At 39.2% G+C, this 20,906-nt stretch overlaps 1 protein-coding gene across 29 annotated transcripts in view; it reads left to right on the forward strand.

The window, feature by feature from the left end:
- Positions 1-20,906, forward strand: part of LMO7 (LIM domain 7) — a 239,437-nt gene that overhangs the window by 118,327 nt on the left and 100,204 nt on the right. The window lies entirely within an intron of this gene.

The following is a 20,906-nucleotide window of genomic DNA, read 5'->3' on the forward strand; positions in this document are numbered from 1 at the left end:
GATGGTAAGAAGAGCTATTGAACCAGAATAATGTTTACCATCTGATATGTTAGTGTGCACAAAATATAAAATGTGTAGAAACATCAGGGAAGTCATTAACCCCAAAACCTATAGTCAGCCTGGACCCCTCATGATTTATTTGCATTTAGCTAAAGCAAGGTTTCTCAGCCTTGGCACTGTTGACACTTTGGCCAGATAATTCTTTGTTGTGGAGGTCTGTCGTGTGCATTGTGGAATCTTGAGCAGTATCCCTGGCCTCTACTCACTAGATGCCATTCCCCCATTTGTGACAGTTAAAAATATCTCTTGAAATTGCCAGTGACTCCCATGGGATAAAATCATCCCTGATTGAGAACTACTGAGCTAAAGAATTAAGAAATTAAACACTGCCCTTTACACAGGCTCTTTGGCTGGCTGACTGTAGATTTGATTACCTACTCATGCTTTCCATTTTAATTTCCCTTTGAAAAGCAAAGATATTCTAGAAAATTTGGATTGAATCAAATTCCTCTGAATGTCTGTGTCAGTGGGCTCAGTGGGAAAATCCTCAGTATATTCACATTTGTGTAAAAAATATGGGCTGAATTGAGCATCTTTCAGATTACTTTCAGGAGTAGAATGTGTAAGGCATGACCATAGAGGCTGGGAAGATTGTCTCCTCATTCAGGAATGCTGTAGAAAGCAGGAAATGGGCAGTGATGCCAGCTAGCTTAAGATGTTGGATGTGTCAGTTTCCCTTGCCTTCATAATGGCAAGGGAAATAAATAAAAGGCAAGTCTATGCATCCCTTCTTACTGCTATTTTCTGGAAAGTTTTTATTGGCTAATGTTCTTGTACCTGTGTGAAATTACTTCTGACTCTTTCATCTTTACTCTCCTACACACTTCCCCTCACTCTCCCACGGCAAAATAGTGTGACCTGCTCTATGTGGTGATCACTGCTGACACATCGGGTTGTTCCTTTCCAGCAGCAATAGAAAATTCACCTGGGGAATCTGCTGTATAATTTAAATATTTCTACCCAAGTTTTGTCCTGTACTTTTCTAAAAATCATTCTTGTGCCATGACTCTGTTTGTCCTATCCCCACTTATTCTCTCTTCAGGAGGAGAGGGGAGGTTTGTGGGACCCTGGAGCTTGTGGGCCCTTTCCAAAATTGAAACCAAGAGATGAGACCTCAAGACAGAGTACTTTTTTGGGGAAAAAGCCCACTTCTCTTTTCTCTTCTTTCTCATCTAAGTTGAAATAACATAAAAAGTACAAATATAATTACTGTTTTCATTCAAGGGTAGCACTTTTCTGAGTAGGAGGCCGGAATGAATTTTGTATGGTTGAAGAGAAAATACTTAAGGAATATTAGAATGTGGCTTGGATGAGTTACAGGAATAAGCAGACAATATGTGCCTTGCTTGAAAGAGTGGTGATACAGAGGGTTGCTCTGTGCTGGGTCAAGCCGCATGTGTGTCTCAGAGGGAGTATCTCTCTAGTGGTAATAAGCAAGACAGACATTTGTGAGTATGTTTGGATGTTGAAGTATACAAAACACTGGGGCTGGGTTTGGTCACTCACGCCTGTAATCCCAGCCCTCTGGGAGGTCAAGGCGGGAGGATTGCTTGAGCTCAAGAGTTTGAGGCTACAATGAGCTATGATTGCATCACTGCACTCCAGCCTGGGTGACAGAGTGAGACTCCATCTCTTTCAATAAATAACGTAAATTAAAGAAGCAAAATACTGATATAAGCAACAACATGGGAAGAGATGGGAAGGTGGTATTGTAGAGCTAGTTTAAAATAACCACTTAAAGGTAAGATCATTAGTGTCTGTTTTCTCTTCTGGAATTTTATTGCTGATTTTGTAGATTTGTTTGAGGAGAATATCTACCTAGAAAATTTAAGAAAGGTTTCTGCTGGGTGAATTCTGTGTGACTCCCTCATCCTTGCCTGATTACATGCCTAGTCACTAACAGCAGCATTGGTACTGGGCTGATTCTGGCTGTCATGACCTCCATCATCAGATGGATGTAAACAGCCTCTGCAACTTAAGGAGGGTGTGGAGGGGCAACACTGAAGTCCCCTCCTGTAGCAACGATCTGGCACAACTTCTGCCTCAAGTCTGCTTTTGTTTTTTGGTACATTAGATAAATATTGAAGTCTGTATATTTCTGTAAATTATCATGGTCTTTAACTTTTATTTATTTTTCACCTATCAGTGTATTGGAGCAATTTCATATCTGTTGCATCAGACCTTGGTGTTTCGTTGAGTTAAAAGATATTTGATTTTTAACTTTTTCTTTCATTTCCTAATAGAGACAGTGAATGTTAAAGGATATCAATAAATTTGATTAAAACTGCTAAATTGTGGTTCTTTATTAAAACTACATTGAATAAATATTTTTATTTCAAAGGGAGGGTGAGCCACTCTCACAATTTGTGACATAATGCTTCAAACACTAACATTTAAACGTTCTTATTTTACTAGTTTGTCAATCTCATCAATTTCCTTAAAAACAAAACACCAATAACAAAAACGGAGTATTTTTTTCTTCCAAATAAAGACATAGGAGAGTACTATAGTATTACCATTATCAATGTATTATTCTACTTGTGTAAGAATTTATAGCATAAAACTTAGCCATTTACTAAAAATAAGGTCAGTTTACACTGATGTTTTCAAAAGGAAACTCCTGGCCATTGTCCTTGATGAACATCGATGCAAAAATCCTCAACAAAACACCGGCAAACTGAATCCAGCAGCACATCAAATAGCTTATCTACCATGATCAAGCAGGCTTTATTGCTAGGATGCAAGGTTGGTTCAACATAGGCAAATCAATAAATGTAATTCATCACATAAACAGAACTAAAGGCAGAAACCACATGATTATCTCAATAGATACAGAAAAGCCTTTTGATAAAATTCAACACTGCTTCATGTTAAAACTCTCAATAAACTAGGTAGAGAAGGAATATACCTCAAAATAATAAGAGCCATCTTTGACAAACCCAGAGATGACATCATACTGAATGGGCAAAAGCTGGAAGCATTGCCCTTGAAAATTGATACAAGACAAGGATACCCTCTCTTACTACTCCTACTCAACATAGTACTGGAAGTCCTGGCCAGAGCAATCAATCAAGAGAAATAAGTGGCATCCAAATAGAAAGAGAGGAAGTCAAACTATTCCTGTTTGCAGATGACTTGATTCTATAACTAGAAAACTGCATAGTCTCGGCCCCAAAGCTCCTTAAGCTGTTAAACAACTTCAGGTAAGATTCAAGATACAAAATCAATGTACAAAAATCTAGCATTCCTATACGTTAACTACAGTCCTACCTAGAGCCAAATTAGGAACACAGTCCCATTCACAGTTGCCACAAAAAGAATAAAATACGTAGGAATACAGCTAACCAGGGACGTGAAAGATCTCTACAATGAGAACTACCAAACACTGCTTAGATAAATCAGAGAAATCAGAGATGACACAAATAAATGGAAAAACATTTCATGTTCATGAATTAGAAGAATCAAAATCATTAATATAGCCATACTGCCCAAAGCAAATTATAGATTTAATGCTATTATCAAACTACCAATGACATTCTTCACAGAACTGGAAAAAAAATTTTTAATATGAAACCAAAAAAGCCCCAATAGCCAGGGTAATTCTAAGCAAGAAGAATAAAGCTGGAGGCATCATACTACCTGACCTCAAACTATACTACAGGGCTATGGTAGCCAAAACAGCATGTTATGGTACAAAAACAGACACATAGACCAATGGAACAGAATAGAGGGCTCAGAAATAAGGCTGCACACTTACAACCATCTGATCTTTGACAAAGCTGACAAAAACAAACAATGAGGAAAGGACTCCCTATTCAATAAATAGTGCTGGTATAACTGGCTAGCCATATGCAGAAGATTGAAACTGGAACTTTTCCTTGTACCATATACAAAAATTAACTCAAGATGGATTAAAGACTTGAATGTAAAACCACAAACTATAAAAATTGTGGAAGACAACCTAGGCAATAACATTCTGGACATAGGCATGGGCAAAAACTTCATGACAAAGATGCCAAAAGCAATTGCAACAAAAGCAAAAATTGACAAATGGGATGTAATTAACCTAAAGAACTTCTGCACAGCAAAAGGAACTATCAACAGAGTAAACAGACAACCTACAGAATGGGAGAAAATTTTTGCAAACTATGCATCTGACAAAGATCTAATATTCAGCATCCACAGCAACTTAAACAAATGTACAAGAAAAAACAACCCCACAAAAAAGTGGGCAAAGGACATGGGCAGACACTTTTCAAAAGAAGACATATATGCAGCCAATAGGCATATGAAAAAAAAGCTCGACATCACTAATCATTAGAGAAATGCAAATCAAAACCACAATGAGATATCATTGCACACCAGTCAGAATGGCTATTACTAAAAAGTCAAAAAATAACAGGTGCTGGTGAGGTTGTGGAGAAAAATAAACTGTTGGTGGGAGTGTAAATTAGTTCAACCAGTGTGGGAAGCTGTGTAGTGTTTACTCAAAGAGCTAAAAATAGATCTACCATTTGACTCAGAAATCCCATTACTGGGTATATACCCAAATCATTCTATCATAAAGACACATGCATGTTTATGTTCATTGCAGCACAATTCACAATAGCAAAGACATGGAATCAACCTAAATGACCATCAATGGTAGACTGGAAAAAGAAAATATGGTACATATATAGCATAGAATACTATGCAGTCATAAAAAAGAAAGAGATCATGTCCTTTGCAGGGACATGAGTGGAGCTGGAGGCCATTATCCTTAGCAAACTAATGCAAGAAAAGAAAACCAAATACCATATGTTCTCACATATAAGTGGGAGCTAAATGATGAGAACACGTGGACACAGAGGAGAACAACAGGCACTGAGGCCTACATGAGAGTGGAGGATGGGAGGAGGGAGAAGATCAGGAAAAATAACAAATGAGTGCTAGGCTTAGTACCTGGGTGATGAAATAATCTGTACAACAAACCCCCATGACATGAATTTACCTGTATAACATACCTGCATGTGCACAGGTTAAAAAAAGAACAAAAACCCCACGAAAACACACTAAAAAAATGACATTTTTCAAGGTTGTATATTAATTTAAGTAATTTTTTTGTAATGTCTATTTTACTGGAACTTCTATGGATCACCACTTGTAATTTGACATAGTTTGAGGTTATCCAGTATGAATAAACTGAAGATTGTGCATTGCTGTCTTCAAGATAACAAATACTTGACAGTAAATATCTGAATGCCTTAACCCGTCATGTAAATGGCATATAAATAAGTTCATTATGGTAGAGTTATTTATAATGTATTCTTAGGAAATTTCCTTGAGTCTCCTTGTCTGCCTCTATCTCTTCCATTCCCAATTAAAGGTCAGTGTCACCCAGAAAGAAAACTTAACAATTTGGGGTCAACATTGTAGTTGTTTCCAATACCCTCATGACGTGGCACTGCAAATGAAGAAACTGCTATTTTATTTCTAGCATAATCTCTTAGTCATAACATTGGCACAAGTTTAAGAACACTTCCTAGAGTTCCAAAACCTGCCTGTTTTTAAATCTAAGATGAACATTTACTTGCCAAGTTTCAGCCTTAGGGCAACTTTTTTTTTGAACGTTAATGAGTTAGAATTACTAAAGCAACACTGTAATTAACTTGTAGAGGTAAAAATAATTGTTTCAGTATTTGAGTAGGATTATATCATACATGACAGTTTCGTTCAGATAAACTTGGAATGTCTCCCCTTAGGTACCTTTTGTTACGTAGAAATTGAAAAGGGAAGAGCAAATGAAGTTGACAGGAAATAGAATCCAAGGTGTAAAACTGGTGTGAAGGCACTGGTCACCCAATTTATCTTAGGCCCATGACTGTGCTTCCCATCCTGAAAATATTTATTGAACATCTACTATGTGTCGGGCACTGTTTCAGGAACTTGGGACACAGCTATAAACAAGGCAGAGTCATAGCTGTAAAAGAGACAGAGAACATTTCTCCCTTATGGGGCTGACATGCCATGGAGTGGGGGGTTGCAGGGAGTACAGCCTTGTCGACCAGAAACACAGTGCTCTAAAGCAACAGATCCATGTGTCAGTTCCCGTGGAGAGTGCAGGAGAAATGCTAGAGGTGATGAAATGGCATATCAGCTCCAGATGCCAAGAATTACAGTGAAAAAATATATAATACCTTATCAGTTACCAATAGTTACACTGAAAAAACAATGTGAATAAAGAATGATTGAGTGTGTGTATGAGAAGCATTTTAGAAACAGGCTCAGGGACATCTTTCTGAGTTGACATTTGATCAGGAGCCTGGAGTGGGCCCTGGTGGGGTGAGTGGGAGGTTTCCAGACAGAGGAACAGAGAGGGAATCAGCAAGGAGAGTCCTGAGGGTCTGAACAGAATGAGAAGAAGTAGTCAAGTGAGGCTGTTAAGGCATCATGGGCTTTGTTGGGTAGGCTACATTTTACTTAAAGTATTGGGGGCTTTTGAGAACAATCTGTTGTTAGGTCATTGGTTGCCTGTGATGAAGGATGCACATATTTGTGACTATACTAAAAATGTTGAATTGTACACAAATGGGTGAATTATATGGTATGTGAGTTTTATCTCAATAAAACTGTTAAGAATAATACAAAATCAGTGGTTGCTATGTGAAAAATAAACTTAAAGAAATCAAGAAGATGAGGGAAAGCCAGTTGAACAATTTCAGTGGTTATGATGGTTAATCGTATGTGTCAACTTGACTGGGCCATAGGGTGCCCAGATATATTTGTTCAGTCATTATTCCGGGTGTGTTTGTGGGGCTGTTATTGTATGAGATTAACATTTGAATCTGTAGACTGAGTAAAGCAGATTGCTCTCCCTACTGTGAATGGGCCTCATCCAGTCATGGAAGGCCTGACTAGAAAAAAAGGCCAGCCCTCCTGCTAGCAAGAGGGAACTCTTCTGCCTGACTGCTGGAGTTTGAACTGAAACATTGGCTTTTCTTAAGTATAGAGCCTGCTGCTTTCCAGACAGGAACTCACATCATTCCATTAGCTCTCCTGGTTCTTAGAGGAGGCTTGCTGCCTTAGAGAGTGAACTATACCATCAGCTCATCAGCTGACTGCAGATTTTGGGACTTCTCTGGTTCTGTGATTCCTTATAATAAATCTCTTTCAATATATATCCGGTTGATCCTCTTTCTCCTGAGAACCAGACAAAAGCAGTAGTCCAGGCAAGAGGGAATGGTGGCAACAAGGGTCTCTGTGTGTATTGTTGAGACGTAGTCAAATTTTCCACGTTTTGATGGAAGAGTGTATAGGAGTTGCTAATGAATTGAGAGGGAATTGAGGGGCTTTTGCACCAGTAGTTTATTGAGTTAATAAATATGAGACAGAAGGTTGGTGGGGGTAGGGGAAAATCAAGAGAGAATCTGTGGAGGATGAAGCAAGTTGCAGAAGATCACAAATTGGTAAATATATATATATAAAAGAGTGATGTAGATTTTAAATGTTGTTCCCTGGCAGCATCATGGAAAAGATGGTAAAAGGGATAGTTTGTGATTATTAAGAAATGGGGTGATCACTGGAAGCCAGCCTTGTTCACCAGAAACAAAATGCTCTAAAGCAACAGATCAACGGGCGTGTCCCCATGGAGAGTGTGGGAAACCCTCTAGAGGTGGTGGAATGGCCTGCGGGTGGGTTTTGTTCATCTTGTACAGTTTTTGTTTTTAAAATTTGAGCCAACATTTATTTATACTGAGATTTCTGATGCAATCCCTGTGTCTGGCTTGTATTGATGGATCTGCCAACAATGGGCCTGCATTCCCCTAAAGCGACCATTATATGGGATGTCCTGTAGACGGGAGTTTCTGGCTTCCTTGGTCTCTTGTCATCTCCTTGACATTATGTTCATTTTATTTATTTATATTTTATTCATTTTTATTACCAGTTTTCTCCCTTCAGGCATCTTTTTTTAATTCCTGCAAGGTACCTGTTGTCATGGCCTCAGTATTGTCAAGATGGGAAAAAGTGGACCAGATAACACCTTCTGTAGGTGAAATCTTAAATAGTTGAGTAAACATGCTCAATTTCAAGAAGCCAAAATATTTAAATCCATGTAAACTTCAAGTGAAGTTTCTGGTAGTTGGCCTTAGGACTTTGTGCTTGCCTTGTTTACATTAAAAAAAAAGATGGGGTGAAAACCTGGCAAACATACTTAGTCCGGTTTGTACATGTTGAAGCAATAAAGTGTAGCTAATGTCCTAAATATAAAAATCTGGACTAAAAAATGATCTGGATGGGCCTAAGTCTCCAAAAGAATATTTATCAGGGATAAATTTCAATGATATTTTAGTTGGAAAAAAAAATCAGTTACGTGAGTTGAGGGTGGTTTTATATTGTCTACAAACTTAATCATGCATTTTAAACCTTTATCCATGGCACCTCACTGATACCATCATAGGGTTTACAATTCAGATTCTTCTCTATATCCAGCTTACTTTTCTTCTAAATTTGACTAGCCCATGGTTCATTACAGCTCACAGGTCATCTTCCTGTGAACAGTGGTGTTGGTGTCACTAGGCTATTGCTGCCACACATGATCTCAGCTGATGGCCTAATACGGATGCTACAATGAAAAGCACCCATAGCCTGTAACACGAGAAGTTAGGTGAATTCTATCCACTCACTGTATGCTAGAAACTGCCAATCACATTTTATCTTTTTTTCTCACTAAACTCTCACAATTACACTGTTACTCTCATGAGACGAGCATTATCAGTGAGCCTTCGAGTGATGTTTAGCCACACCTGGAGTCCAGTATTTGAGATACAGATGCTTCATTCCAGGGAGGAGGACATAACCCACAGGGACTTGTCTTTAAGGTGGCATGGCAGTTGTGGTAGGTGGAATAATGGCCCCCAAGGATGTTCACATTGTGATCCATGGAAATAGTGAATATGTTACAAGGCAAGGAAGAATTAGGTTGCAGATGGGATTGCGGTTGCTAATCAGTTGATCCTGAGATGGGGAGCATATCCTGCATGATCCAGGTGGGCTCTGTGTAATCCCAAGCATCCCTGTAAGAGGAAGATGGAACGAGGAGAGGGAGAACCAGATAGATGGCTGAGTGAGGGATCCTCATGTATAGGGACCAACTAGGAGAGCTAGTTGGGCACCTTGAGTTGCATCTCTGAGTATTTACCTATATCTTGTAGTCATCAAATGTAGGTGTTACTTGGCAGATTACATGAGGCTGCTGACTTTGAAGACGGAGGAACAGGGTTATGAGCCAAGGAATGCAGGTGGCTTCTGGAAGCTGGAAAAGGTGAGGAACTGGATTCTCTCCTAAAAGGTGTAGCAGAAGGAACATAGTCCCAAGGGCACCTTGATTTTAAATCAATGAGACTGATTTTGGACTTCTGACCTCCAGAACTGTAAGATAATAAAATTGTGTTGTTTTAAGCAACTTAATAGTGGCAATTTGTTATGGAAATAATAGGAGACTAATACAGAGGTTAAGAGCACAGATTCAAGAATCTAACTGCTGGATTTGAATCTCAGCTCCACAACTTAATGTATGACCTTGGGCAAGTCACGTAACCCCTTACACCTCAGTTTCCTCATGTGTGAAGTGGGAACGATAATAAGACTTCACAACATTTTTTGGTAAGAATTTGAATAAGATAATTAGCATAAAGTGGTTCAGTATGTTACCTGGCATATCGTAAGAACTCAGTAAATATTAGCTTAGGAAAATTAGCTATTAAGGGGAGGGTCAGTTGGGAATAACTGGAAAATGTCACATGAGGGACAATGGATGTTGAGGAAACAAAGGGCATCTAAAGAGAAGATGTGAGGTTGGAGTATGAGGCAAGAGAATTGTCTAAGTAGGGAAGGGGCTCTCATAGGAGGAAGATGAGATTTAGTTTGCATTACTAGGTAGGAAGATTTAGGATCAGTGTTTTACAGTTACAGTGAGGGAGTCTTTAGACTGTCTTTTTTCTTTCTTTCTTTCTTTCTTTTTTTTTTTTTGAGACAGGGTCTGGTTCTTTCACTCAGGCTGGAGTGCAGTGGCCTGATCTTGGCTCATTGCAACCTCCTCCTCCTGGGCTCCCAGTGATCCTCCCATCTCAGCCTCTGGAGTAGCTGGGACTACAGGCACTGGCCCCCTGCTAATTTTTTAAGGTTTTTGTAGAGATGAGGTCTCACTGTGTTGCCCAGGCTGGTCTGGAACTCCTGGGCTCAAGCAATACTCCTGCCTAGGCCTCCCAAAGTGCTGGATTAAAAGTGAATCAGCCTCATAAAACAGTGAGTCCCTGGGGCTGGAAATTTTTAAACAAAAGGTGATGATCCAGACTCATTATCTATATAAGTGATGCTAAAGATCGTTGGGACAGGTTGCACTAAAGGTGCCCCAATTTCTAGCCGGCTTTAAAGTTTTACCACATAGTGTTCCTTGTTAAATACGTGTTAGTGCTTCATAAAATATGCATTTTAGCATCACAGTGACATTTTTTCTTAAAGTAATTATTTGTTTTGCTTTGGAACATGGTTAACTTGAGAATGGAACTTAAGCATCTATTTCAGCACTTTGGAAAAAAAGAGTAGGTGAGTTTTAGAATTATCTCATTTTTGATGTAAAGTTTAATTTGATGAATCATATACAAGACTGTCACTTAATTCATACTGCAGTTTGCCACAGCCTGTTACTGCTTTATGTAGTTAATTGTAACCCGAGTGGATGAAGCATTTCAACTAGCCTTTACCAGAACGCTCAGCCCTCCCTCCCTGACCTGCTGCTGCCCTAACTTGCCAGCTCAGCTCTGCCTCGTTGGTTTGGCTGTTGCTCCAGCTCTGCCAAATGGTGCTGGCATTGTTATCCTATGTAATCCCTTGGGCCCACAGTGTCTCTTGGCAATTCCTTTAAGCTCTCCTAGTTGGTTCCTATTTTTACTTTCATATGTTATGAAACTTTACGGCTTTCCTTGTCCTTAGTTCCTTTGTTATCAGCAAATGGCTGAGCCCTCACCCCCACCTTTTTTTTTTTGGAGAGAAATTGGTTCCCCAAGGAAAAATTTTAAAAAATGGCTGAGACTGACTGCTTATTTTCTTCACAAATAACTATTGACGTTGGATCTCTGAGTGTTTGCCTATATATTATAGTCATAAAATGTAGGTGTTACTTGGCAGAATAAGTTTATTATTAGCTATGCCATTATTAGTTATACCATAACAAGCGATGATTATCCAAAATAATAGATTAAAAAAAAAACCAGTGCTGGCACATCAAAGCACACACAACTGCTTTCTTAATAGAAACGGTATAATTAAAATGCAAATTTGGATATATTTTAGTCACCCTGCTACTTAGAAGTTGCTTTAAAATAACTGGTCACAATATAGCATAAGAATAAGATTCAAGTACTTTTGGTGATCTAATAGTAAACTCCATAATCTCTGGGTGACTTATGTGCATACTAAAGAGAAACACTGTCTTAAGTTATATTTGATGAAAACCTTTTCCTCACTTTAATTGCCAAAAAACTTTTGTCCACAAAAATTCAGTTCACCTGGGGGATCCTTTTTTTTTTTTTTTTTTTTTTCCTTTTTGGAGACAGGGTCTTGCTTTATTGCCCAGGCTGGAATGCAGTGGTGCAGTCATGGCTCACTGCAGCCTCAAACTCCTGAGCTCAAGCTGTACTCCCACTTCAGCCTCCCAAGTAGCTAGGACTACAGGTGCATGCCACCGCACCTGGATAATAATTTTATTTTTTTTGGTAGAGAGACAGGGTCTGACTATGTTGCCCAGGCTGGTCTCTAACTCCTGGTCTCAAGGAGTTGAGCCCTGCCTTGGCCTCCCAAAGTGCTGGGATTAGAGGCATGAACCACCACTGGCCGGGGATTTTCTTAAAATGCAGAGTGTGGTTCAGTAGGTCTGGGGTGTAGCTAGAGATTCTGAATTTTTGGCAGGCTCCCAGGTGACCCTGATGCTGATGGTCTGTGGCCACGCTTTGTGTAGCAAGTGACTGGGTCAGTGGTCCTCCATTTTGACTGTGCATCAGTTGCATCTGAGGGATGGCTGTGTGACTCCCTCTCATGAGTTTGACTGGGGTCCCATGTCTATAAATCATAATGCTAAGATATGGACTTAGCTGAATTTCTCTGCTTCAAGTAATAGTTATCTCTTGATTGCTGGCACATACTTGCTAACATTTTTGGCACTGTCAATTGCAGGGTTAGAGGAGGCAGGGACTTTGCCAGATTATAAATAGAAAGGAGTCGAGGTCACCTAGTATCTTGTCTTTAGGATAAATTGATCAGCATCATCATGTACTCAGCTCTTTTTTCAGCTCTTTTTTTTTTTTTTTTTTTTTTTTTTTTTGAGACAGAGCCTCGCTCTGTCGCCCAGGCTGGAGTTCAGCGGCGTGATCTCGGCTCACTGCAAGCTCCACCTCCCAGGTTCACACCATTCTCCTGCCTCAGCCTCCCGAATAGCTGGGACTACAGGTGCCTGCCACCAGGCCTGGCTAATTATTTGTATTTTTAGTAGAGACAGGGTTTCACCATGTTAGTTAGGATGGTTTCGATCTCCTGACCTTGTGATCTGTCCCGCTCAGCCTCCCAAAGTGCAGGGATTACAGGCATGAGCCACCGCACCTGACCAGCTCTTTTTTAAATTGAAAACTTGTTTAAAGTAGGCAAGAACCCTTTCTGGGAATACCAGGCCAAAGTAATCATGACAAGAGTATTTGGTTAATTGACAGGGAACACTTCCAGGTGGTGTCGTTCTGGGAGCCTTGGTTTAAGCTTTGTAAGGCCTTTAGGTCACAGCCCTGAGAACAACTTCACTCATTTTCAGAATTAGGATTTTGATCTTATTTAGGACTTTTGTAATAAATCCTTTTATTAACCTTGTCTCTATTTTTACACTGTTTATAAAAGTGTCTTTTCACTTTTGCTTATAATGACAGCTCTTGACCCTGTACACTCAGGAAGTTTTTGCAGTAGTGGGTCTAACTGGCTTGATCTTATGAGTAGACATTTCTGTATTGCTACATTAAGGTTCCCTGATGCAGAGTATTCCCTTTATATTTGGGAGGTTGTCATGCTTGAAATTTTATCAAATATATATTTTTTGATCCTTCAAGTAAAAGTGAAAGTGACTTTGGGTAGGGTAAGAGCCTAGGGTGTTGTAGTACATTTTCATGAGGATTTAGACTTTTGCATAATGAAATGATTCAATGTATAAGAGAAATCTGGAGCATAATGACATTTATGTAAATTAGACTCTCTCTCTATATATGCAACAGCACTTGTTAAAGAACATTTTATTTTATTTTATTATTATTATTTTTGACAGAGTCTCCCTCTGTCACCCAGGCTGGAGTGCAATGGCGTGATCTTGGCTCACTGCAACCTCTGCCTCCCAAGTTCAGCAATTATCCTGCCTCAGCCTCCCAAGTAGCTGGAATTACAGGCGCCCGCCACTATGCCCAGCTAATTTTTGTATTTTTAGTAGAGACGGGGTTTCACCATGAGTTATTCAGGCTGGTCTCGAACTCCTGACCTCAGGTGATCCACCCACCTCAGCCTCCCACAGTGCTGGGATTACAGGCATGAGCCACTGCACCCGGCCAAAGAACATTTAAAAAAATTTATATTCATGGGGCACAAGTACAATTTTCCTACCTTAATATATTACACTGTGGTGAAGTAGGGGCCTTCAGTGCATTCATCACTGGAACATTGCACATTGTATCCACCAAGCGGCCTCCCATCATCCACCCCCTTCCCATCCCCACAATGCTGTGAGTCCCCATTGTCCATCATTCACACTCTACTTCCATTTGTATACATTATTTGGCTCCCACTTATGAGAACATGTAGTATTTGTCTTTCTGCATCTGAGTTGTTTCGCTTAAGATAATGGCCTCCAGTTCCATTTGTATTAGTGCAAAAGACATGATTTCATTTTTTAATGGCTGAATAGTATTCCATTGTGGATGTATACCACATTTTATTTATCCAGTCCTTCATTGATGGACACTTAGGTTGATTCCATATCTTTGCTATTGTGAATAGTGCTGCAGAAAACATACAAGTGCAGGCATCTCTTTGATGTAATGATTTCTTTTTCCTTGGGTAGATGTCAAGTAGTGGGATTGCTGGATCATATGGTAGTTCTATTTTTAGTTCTTTGACAGATCTCCACACTGTTTTCCATAGAGACTGCACTAATTTACATTCCCACCAGCAGTGTATAAGCATTCCTGTTTCTCTGCATTTTCTCCAACATCTGTCATTTTCTGTCTTTTTAATAATAGTCATTCTGATTGGAGTAAAATGATATAGTGGTTTTAATTTGCATTTCTCTGACTAGTAATGTTGAACATTTTTTCATATTTTTGTTGGCCATTTGTCTTCCATTGAAAAAGGTTTATTCATATCCTTGGCCCACTTTTTAATGGGTTTAGTTGGACTTTTGTTGTTCCTTATAAATTCTGGATATCAGTCTGCTGTTGGATGTATATAGTTTGCAAATATTTTCTCCCATTCCACAGGTGACCTTTTCACTTTGTTGATTATTTCTTTTGCTGTGCAGAAGCCTTTTAGTTTAAATCCCGTTTGTCTATTCTTGTTTTTGTTGCCCGTGCTTTTGAGGTCTCAGTCATACATTCTTTGCCTAGACTAGTGATATGGTTTGGCTGTGTCCTCACCCAAATCTCATCTTGAATTGTAGTTCCCATAATCCCCAGGTGTCGTGGGAAGGACCTGGTGGGAGGTAATTGAATCATGGGGGTTGTTTCCCCCATGCTATTCTTGTGCTAGTGAGTGAGTTCTCACAAGATCTGATGGTTTTATAAGGGGCTCTTCCCCTTTTGCTCAGCACTTCTCCTTCCTTCTGCCATGTGAAGAAGGAGGTGTTTGCTTCCCTCTCCACAATGATTTTAAGTTTCCTGAGGCCTCTCCAGTCCTGTGGAACTGTGAGTCAATTAAACCTCTTTTCTTATAAATTACCCAGTCTTGAGCAGTTCTTTATAGCAGCATGAGAATGAACTAATACAACTAGACATTTATATTTTTAAACACATTAAAGAAGGCATCTTTAAAAAATAATTTGAGACAGGTACACTAAAATCCCAGGCTTCAGCACTATATAGTTCACCTGTGTAACCAAAAACCACTTGTATCCCTAAAGCTATTGACATTAAAAAATTAAAAAATAATTTGAGGTGAAATTCACATAACATAAAGTATTAAAACCATTAAAAACCATTTTAAAGTACACAATTTAGTAGCATCTATTACATTCACAATGTTGTGCAACCATTAAACATTTCTAATATTTCAAAGTAAAACCTCTTAACATCAAGTGGTTTCTCCCCATTTCCTCCTCCTCCATTCAGCTTCTGGCAACTACCAACCTGCATTTCGTCTCTGGATTTATCCATTCTGGATATTTTATACAAATGGAATACGTGACTTTTGTTTTCTGGCTTCTTTCACTTACTGTAATGTTTTGTAGCACATATCAGTACTTCATTCCTTTTTATGGCTGAGTGCTATTCCATTGTATGGATAGACCACAACATGTTTATCCATTTACCTCTTAGCAGACATCAGAACGGTTTGTACCTTTTGATATGTACATGCACATGCATGTACATGTAATGTACTTATTTGGGAATCTTTTTAATTCTTTGGGATATATATAGGATATATACCTGGGGGAAGGCATCTTTTTAATAGAAAGGAATGGGAGTGAGTGGGAATGTGGGATGAGGAGGAAAATAATTAAAATAACAAAATAAAATGAGAGAGCCCTTATACTGACTGATAAGAGCTTGCTTAAATAGGAATGATGAATTCAACTTTGGGTCCTGACATTTCTTCCCAAGCACTTACATTACTGATGAAAGAGCAAGGACATGTGCTATAATGATATGAAAATATGTTACTTGATAAATGCTTTTGGAAGGAAAATGGGTTGAAAGGCTCTGAAAGGTGAGGTGTTAACAAAGTCCTGTCTTACCCTTGACACCAGTGTGAGAATATTCATATTGGCCTTATGCTATTCTCATTAACACTCTTTTCAGGATTTATAATGGAAATAGAGAAGAGTTAAGATTCCATTGAAGTGTATAATTGTGTTTGTTGCAAACTCAAAATATTGGGTGGAGGTGGAATGTAACCCTACATTTGGGGTCAAGAGAATAAGAATGAGCACTGCTTCTCTCCCCACCTTTTCCCTCAAGGGATGAGGCATTCCAACACTGAAGGGTCAGGGGAGTGGTAGCTTTGGCAGGACTGATAGGAGGCTTGAGTAGGAGACAGACTTGCAGAGTGAAAGACCAAGGAGGTCTTTCAGATTCTGGGTGGTCCCTCACCTGTTGCCAGCGGCTGGTCTTCACTGCCGCTTATTATTTACTCATGAGTCTTCTGGAGTTTTTGCCCATGAAATGTCCACTTTATTTGATTTTCAAATTCTTTGGGTAGTTTTTCTTATGGCGTCATCTGCCTCTCTATTCCTGAAAGAAATCTCTTGTTGTTTTCTCTCCCTTGTTTTCCATAATGGTATTCTCTTCCCTTGTTTTCCGTATGCTATTCTCTTCTGCTTTTCTTCTGATTTATCTGGATGCCAGGTATTTTTCTCTCTTGACTCCTCTTTCTTTAACTGTCCTTTAAATGCTGGTGGTTGACTGTGAATCCTTCTTTCTCTTTGCTATCAGGGCAAGGAGGGCACATTGACATCCCTAATTTCAATGACTACCAATGTGTGCTAGACTCCCAAACCATATTTTAAAATCAAATGTTTCTCATGGGCTGCAAACCTAACTTACTACTAGCTGGGCATCTGAAACTCAACATTTCTAAACGTTTATTTTTCTATTCTAAATTTTTGACTGGTCTGTATTCTTTATTATTAAAATCTTGTGGTAGCCAGCTTCCAAAATGGTCCCAGTGATTCTCACTTTGTGATATTCTCTTCCTTGTACCTAGGAATTCTACCCAATTAACTAAGTGATCTACTGGGGAGATTCCATTCTTCTAGTGAGGTGACCTACAGAGTGTTGAAGTGATGCCTCGATTCTTCTTGTGGATTATAGTAAAATGTGAGAGGAGAAAGTGAAGAATAGAGTGACAAACATGAGAGAAACAGGAATTGCTGCTTTTGAAAATTGTCAGTCTCTTTAGTAAGTAAATGATGCTAGAACTGAGATGTGGTTTTCAGGCATAGATTAAATTCAGAGCATTTGCAGGAAAATAAGGCCTAAAAAGGAGTTGAGGATGTGGTTGTAAAATTCTTTAAGTTCTTAGATTCAAGACGGTACCTTGCAGATCTGTCGAGTCAAGCAATAGGGCTTCTAAGCACCTTAAGGATATTGTCCTCCAGTCATCTCAGCAAGAGACCAAGGTAGAGAAGAGCTACTCTTGAAGAGATTGATGGGTGCATCTTTTGTCTAATGGAATGAACCCCAATAAGATTCACAGAAGATCTGTAGTATCTTTGAGATAATTGTATTTGCAGAAACACTGCCAGCTGAGACTGAAAGGAATAGAGAATCATGAAATTAAGAGACCCTTAATTCTCTCAATTGCTATGGGTAGGGTAAAGAAGTAGATTGAAAAACCTACATAGCCACAAAGATAGGCTACTTTTCAGTGAAAAGCAAAGATGACTTTTAGGGTGGCACCAAGAATCCAGAGGGTGTAGCCAAAAACCATGAAGTATTACCTGGCCTTGAGTCTTCATGAAGGAACTGCCAACCTGTGTCTTGAAGGATTTCAGAATTTCTGTGGACCAGTGACTCCTGTGTTGCCTTTCATTTCTCTACTCTCTGACCTAGAGTGTCTATAGTGATTATCTTAACACCTGTCACTCTATTGCATGTTGGGAGTGTGGGAGCAGGTAACTTGTCTTAGTTCACTGACATTCAAGTTGAGAGGAACTTTACTTAAGGGCCATACTTAAGGAATTACACCTGAAGAGCCTCAGACACTCCTGGATCTGACTTAGATGATGAGATTTTGGACTTTGAGTTCACCTTGTAAAGGGATGAATATTTTGGGGCCTTATTAGGGAGTAAGTGTATTTTGCACATGGTTGGGACATGAATCACTGAGGTGGGTCCAGAGAGTGAAATGTAGTAGACAGTCCCCCAGAAAGCCCTCCATGATTCTCACCTCCTGGTGTTTATGTTCTTTTGTACCTACATGGAATAGGGCTGATCTGTGTAACCAACAGGATGTTGAGGAAATGATGGAATGTGACTTCAAAAGCTATGTCATAAGACATTGCAACTTCCATCTTGCTCCTTGGATCACGGGCTCTATCAAGCAGCCCTTTGGAGATGTCCATTTGGTAAAGAACCAAGGCTTCCTGTTAACAATCAGCCCTGATTTGTCAGCCACATGAGTGAGCCGCCTTGGAAACAGCTCCTCCAAGCTCCAGGAAAGCCTTGGGATGACTGTAGTCATGGCTGACATCTCAATTACAACCTAATGAAGGGTCCCCCAATTCAGAACTATTCAGCTAAGGCCACTCCTGAATTACCTTCAGAAACTAAATGAAATCATAAACACCTATTCCCTTAAGCTGCTTAATTTGGGGATAATGTATTATGCACCAATAGATAACTAATAGGGTACTACAGTGAACAAATACAAACCTTGATTATCTTGGTAGATCTTTGTGGCTTCCCCATCCTACCTCAGTGGTAAGAACTGCTGTTCCTGATCATTAAGCTCTCTAAGTTACCCTAGCCCACTCCACCCCACACCTGTTATGGCTGCTTTATAATTGATTCAAGGATAAGGGGTGGAAGGGAGATTGGAGACAATATGAAAATCTTAAAGCCATGTGTCTGTTCTTGCCTGCCTCTCAAAGGGCCAATTTTAGAACCTTTAATTTGTAGTGTCTCCCTTTATTCATAGTCATAGAAAAATTTAAAGCTTAAAGGAGCTATTAGATACATTTAGGGCTCATTGTTTCTGTGTGTGTGTGTGTGTGTGTGTGTGTGTGTGTGTGTGTGTGTGTGTGTGTATGTTGGTTTGTCTTTGAGAAGCCACTTTTGGTCCTGAAAGTACAGGGTTTACAGATGTTTAGAGCAGGATTTTGACATGAAGTATTTTATGGAAGTTGGGTAATGAAATATTTGTGTGATGGGTTGGGCCAGGGAGGGTTGGGCTCCTCTTCTTTTGCAGAGAAAAATGATTGCCCTTGATAATGGGTTACAGATTCACAAACTGCTCATTTCAGGGATGAGGAAAATGGGGCCAGAAATGTTAACTCTCTTTCCAAAGCCACACAGTTGTTTAGGGACAAAGTTAACTTGGAGTCCTGGTGACTAGTCCAATTAGATAAGATTAGTTTTAATTTGTCCTTTATTTTCCCTTTTATTTTTGCTAATTTCAAGTGAAAATTATTTCATTAAACAACTAAATACTTCCCTTTTAATGTGTTGAGCTGGGTGTGGCTTCTTGAAGTTTTAACTGTCATGAAAATTTTATTTTATAATTTTATATATACCCTTAGGGACCTCTTTGCCTGCATCCTTTGAAATTGCAAGGAATAAATTACCAGTGAGCTCAAATCCAGTAGGAATGACTGAGACTACATTACCAATCTTAGTACAACCTCGTCCTGCTGCATAGGCCATGTGTGACTTTGTTTACAAAGTTGTACTGTGTTAAACTTGAGCATCGTTGAATGATTTAAAAGATATTCTGCTGTTTTGGTTAAAATAAAGTCTTTATTTAAGGCTAGAATTTAGCCATATTAATTTGTATCTTCTCTTGAACTTTGTCTTCAACTAAGTATAGTCACTTTAGATGTCAAGTTCTTTCTCTCTACTTTGGTGGTTTTTGAGGAGAGTTTGGCTTTATTTATCTATCCTTATCAATCTGTACCTATTTGTCAACTAGATGAATGCTATTATGTTTGTATGAAATATGTGAAGAATCATTTTGGCTCTCATTTGAGTAAGTTTACTTTTAGTTTAACCTTATTTTAATATTTTTGTAATACTTTAAACATTCAGAACCAAATCAAATTGGTTGAATTGGTGTGAAGACTTCTAATGGTTTGTTTTTCCTTTATTGATATGAGACTTGCATCCTGTGTGTATTAGTTCATTTTCACACTGCTGTAAAGAACTGCCTGAGACTGGGTAATTTACAAAGCAAAGAGATTTAAATGACTCACAGATCTGCATGGCTGGGAAGGCCTCAGAGAGCTTACAGTCATGGGGGAAGGGGAGGCAGACATGTCTTACATGGTGACAGGTGAGAGAGAGCGAAGGGGGAAGAGCTCCTTATAAAACCACCAGATCTCTTGAGAACTCACTCACTATCACGAGAACAGCATGGGGGAAACTGCCCCCATGATCCAATCGCCTCTCTCCCTTGGCATGCAGGGATTACAGGTCCTTCATTGACAAGTGAGGATTACAATTTCAGATGAGAATTGGGTGGGGACACACAGCCAAACCATATCATTATGGAACTTGGGGTATTGGTACATCCAACCATCTTTTCTTGCCTGCTTCTCAGAGGGCCAATTTTAAAACCATTAATTTGTATCATTTGATAATTACAGATAGTATACTTTTTAGAAACTATGGGCCTAACAAAATTATCACATTTTGCTCCTCTTGGAATTTTGCCAATAAATTGTGTCTCCTTTTTCCATAATAAGTCAAATGAAAAACAAAATAAACACCTTTCATTGAGCTGTTCAACTTTTGACTTGCAAGTTTCTTTACTCTTTGACTTCATCTTATTTAAAACGATTCGTGGATTTCATCTTTCAGCTAGGTAGTTCGCACTGCCTTTTACTCACAGTAGATTGGAATGACCAGGATCCTGCC

This window comes from Homo sapiens, chromosome 13 (genome assembly GCF_000001405.40).
Source record: "Homo sapiens chromosome 13, GRCh38.p14 Primary Assembly".
NCBI classification, from domain to species: domain Eukaryota; kingdom Metazoa; phylum Chordata; class Mammalia; order Primates; family Hominidae; genus Homo; species Homo sapiens.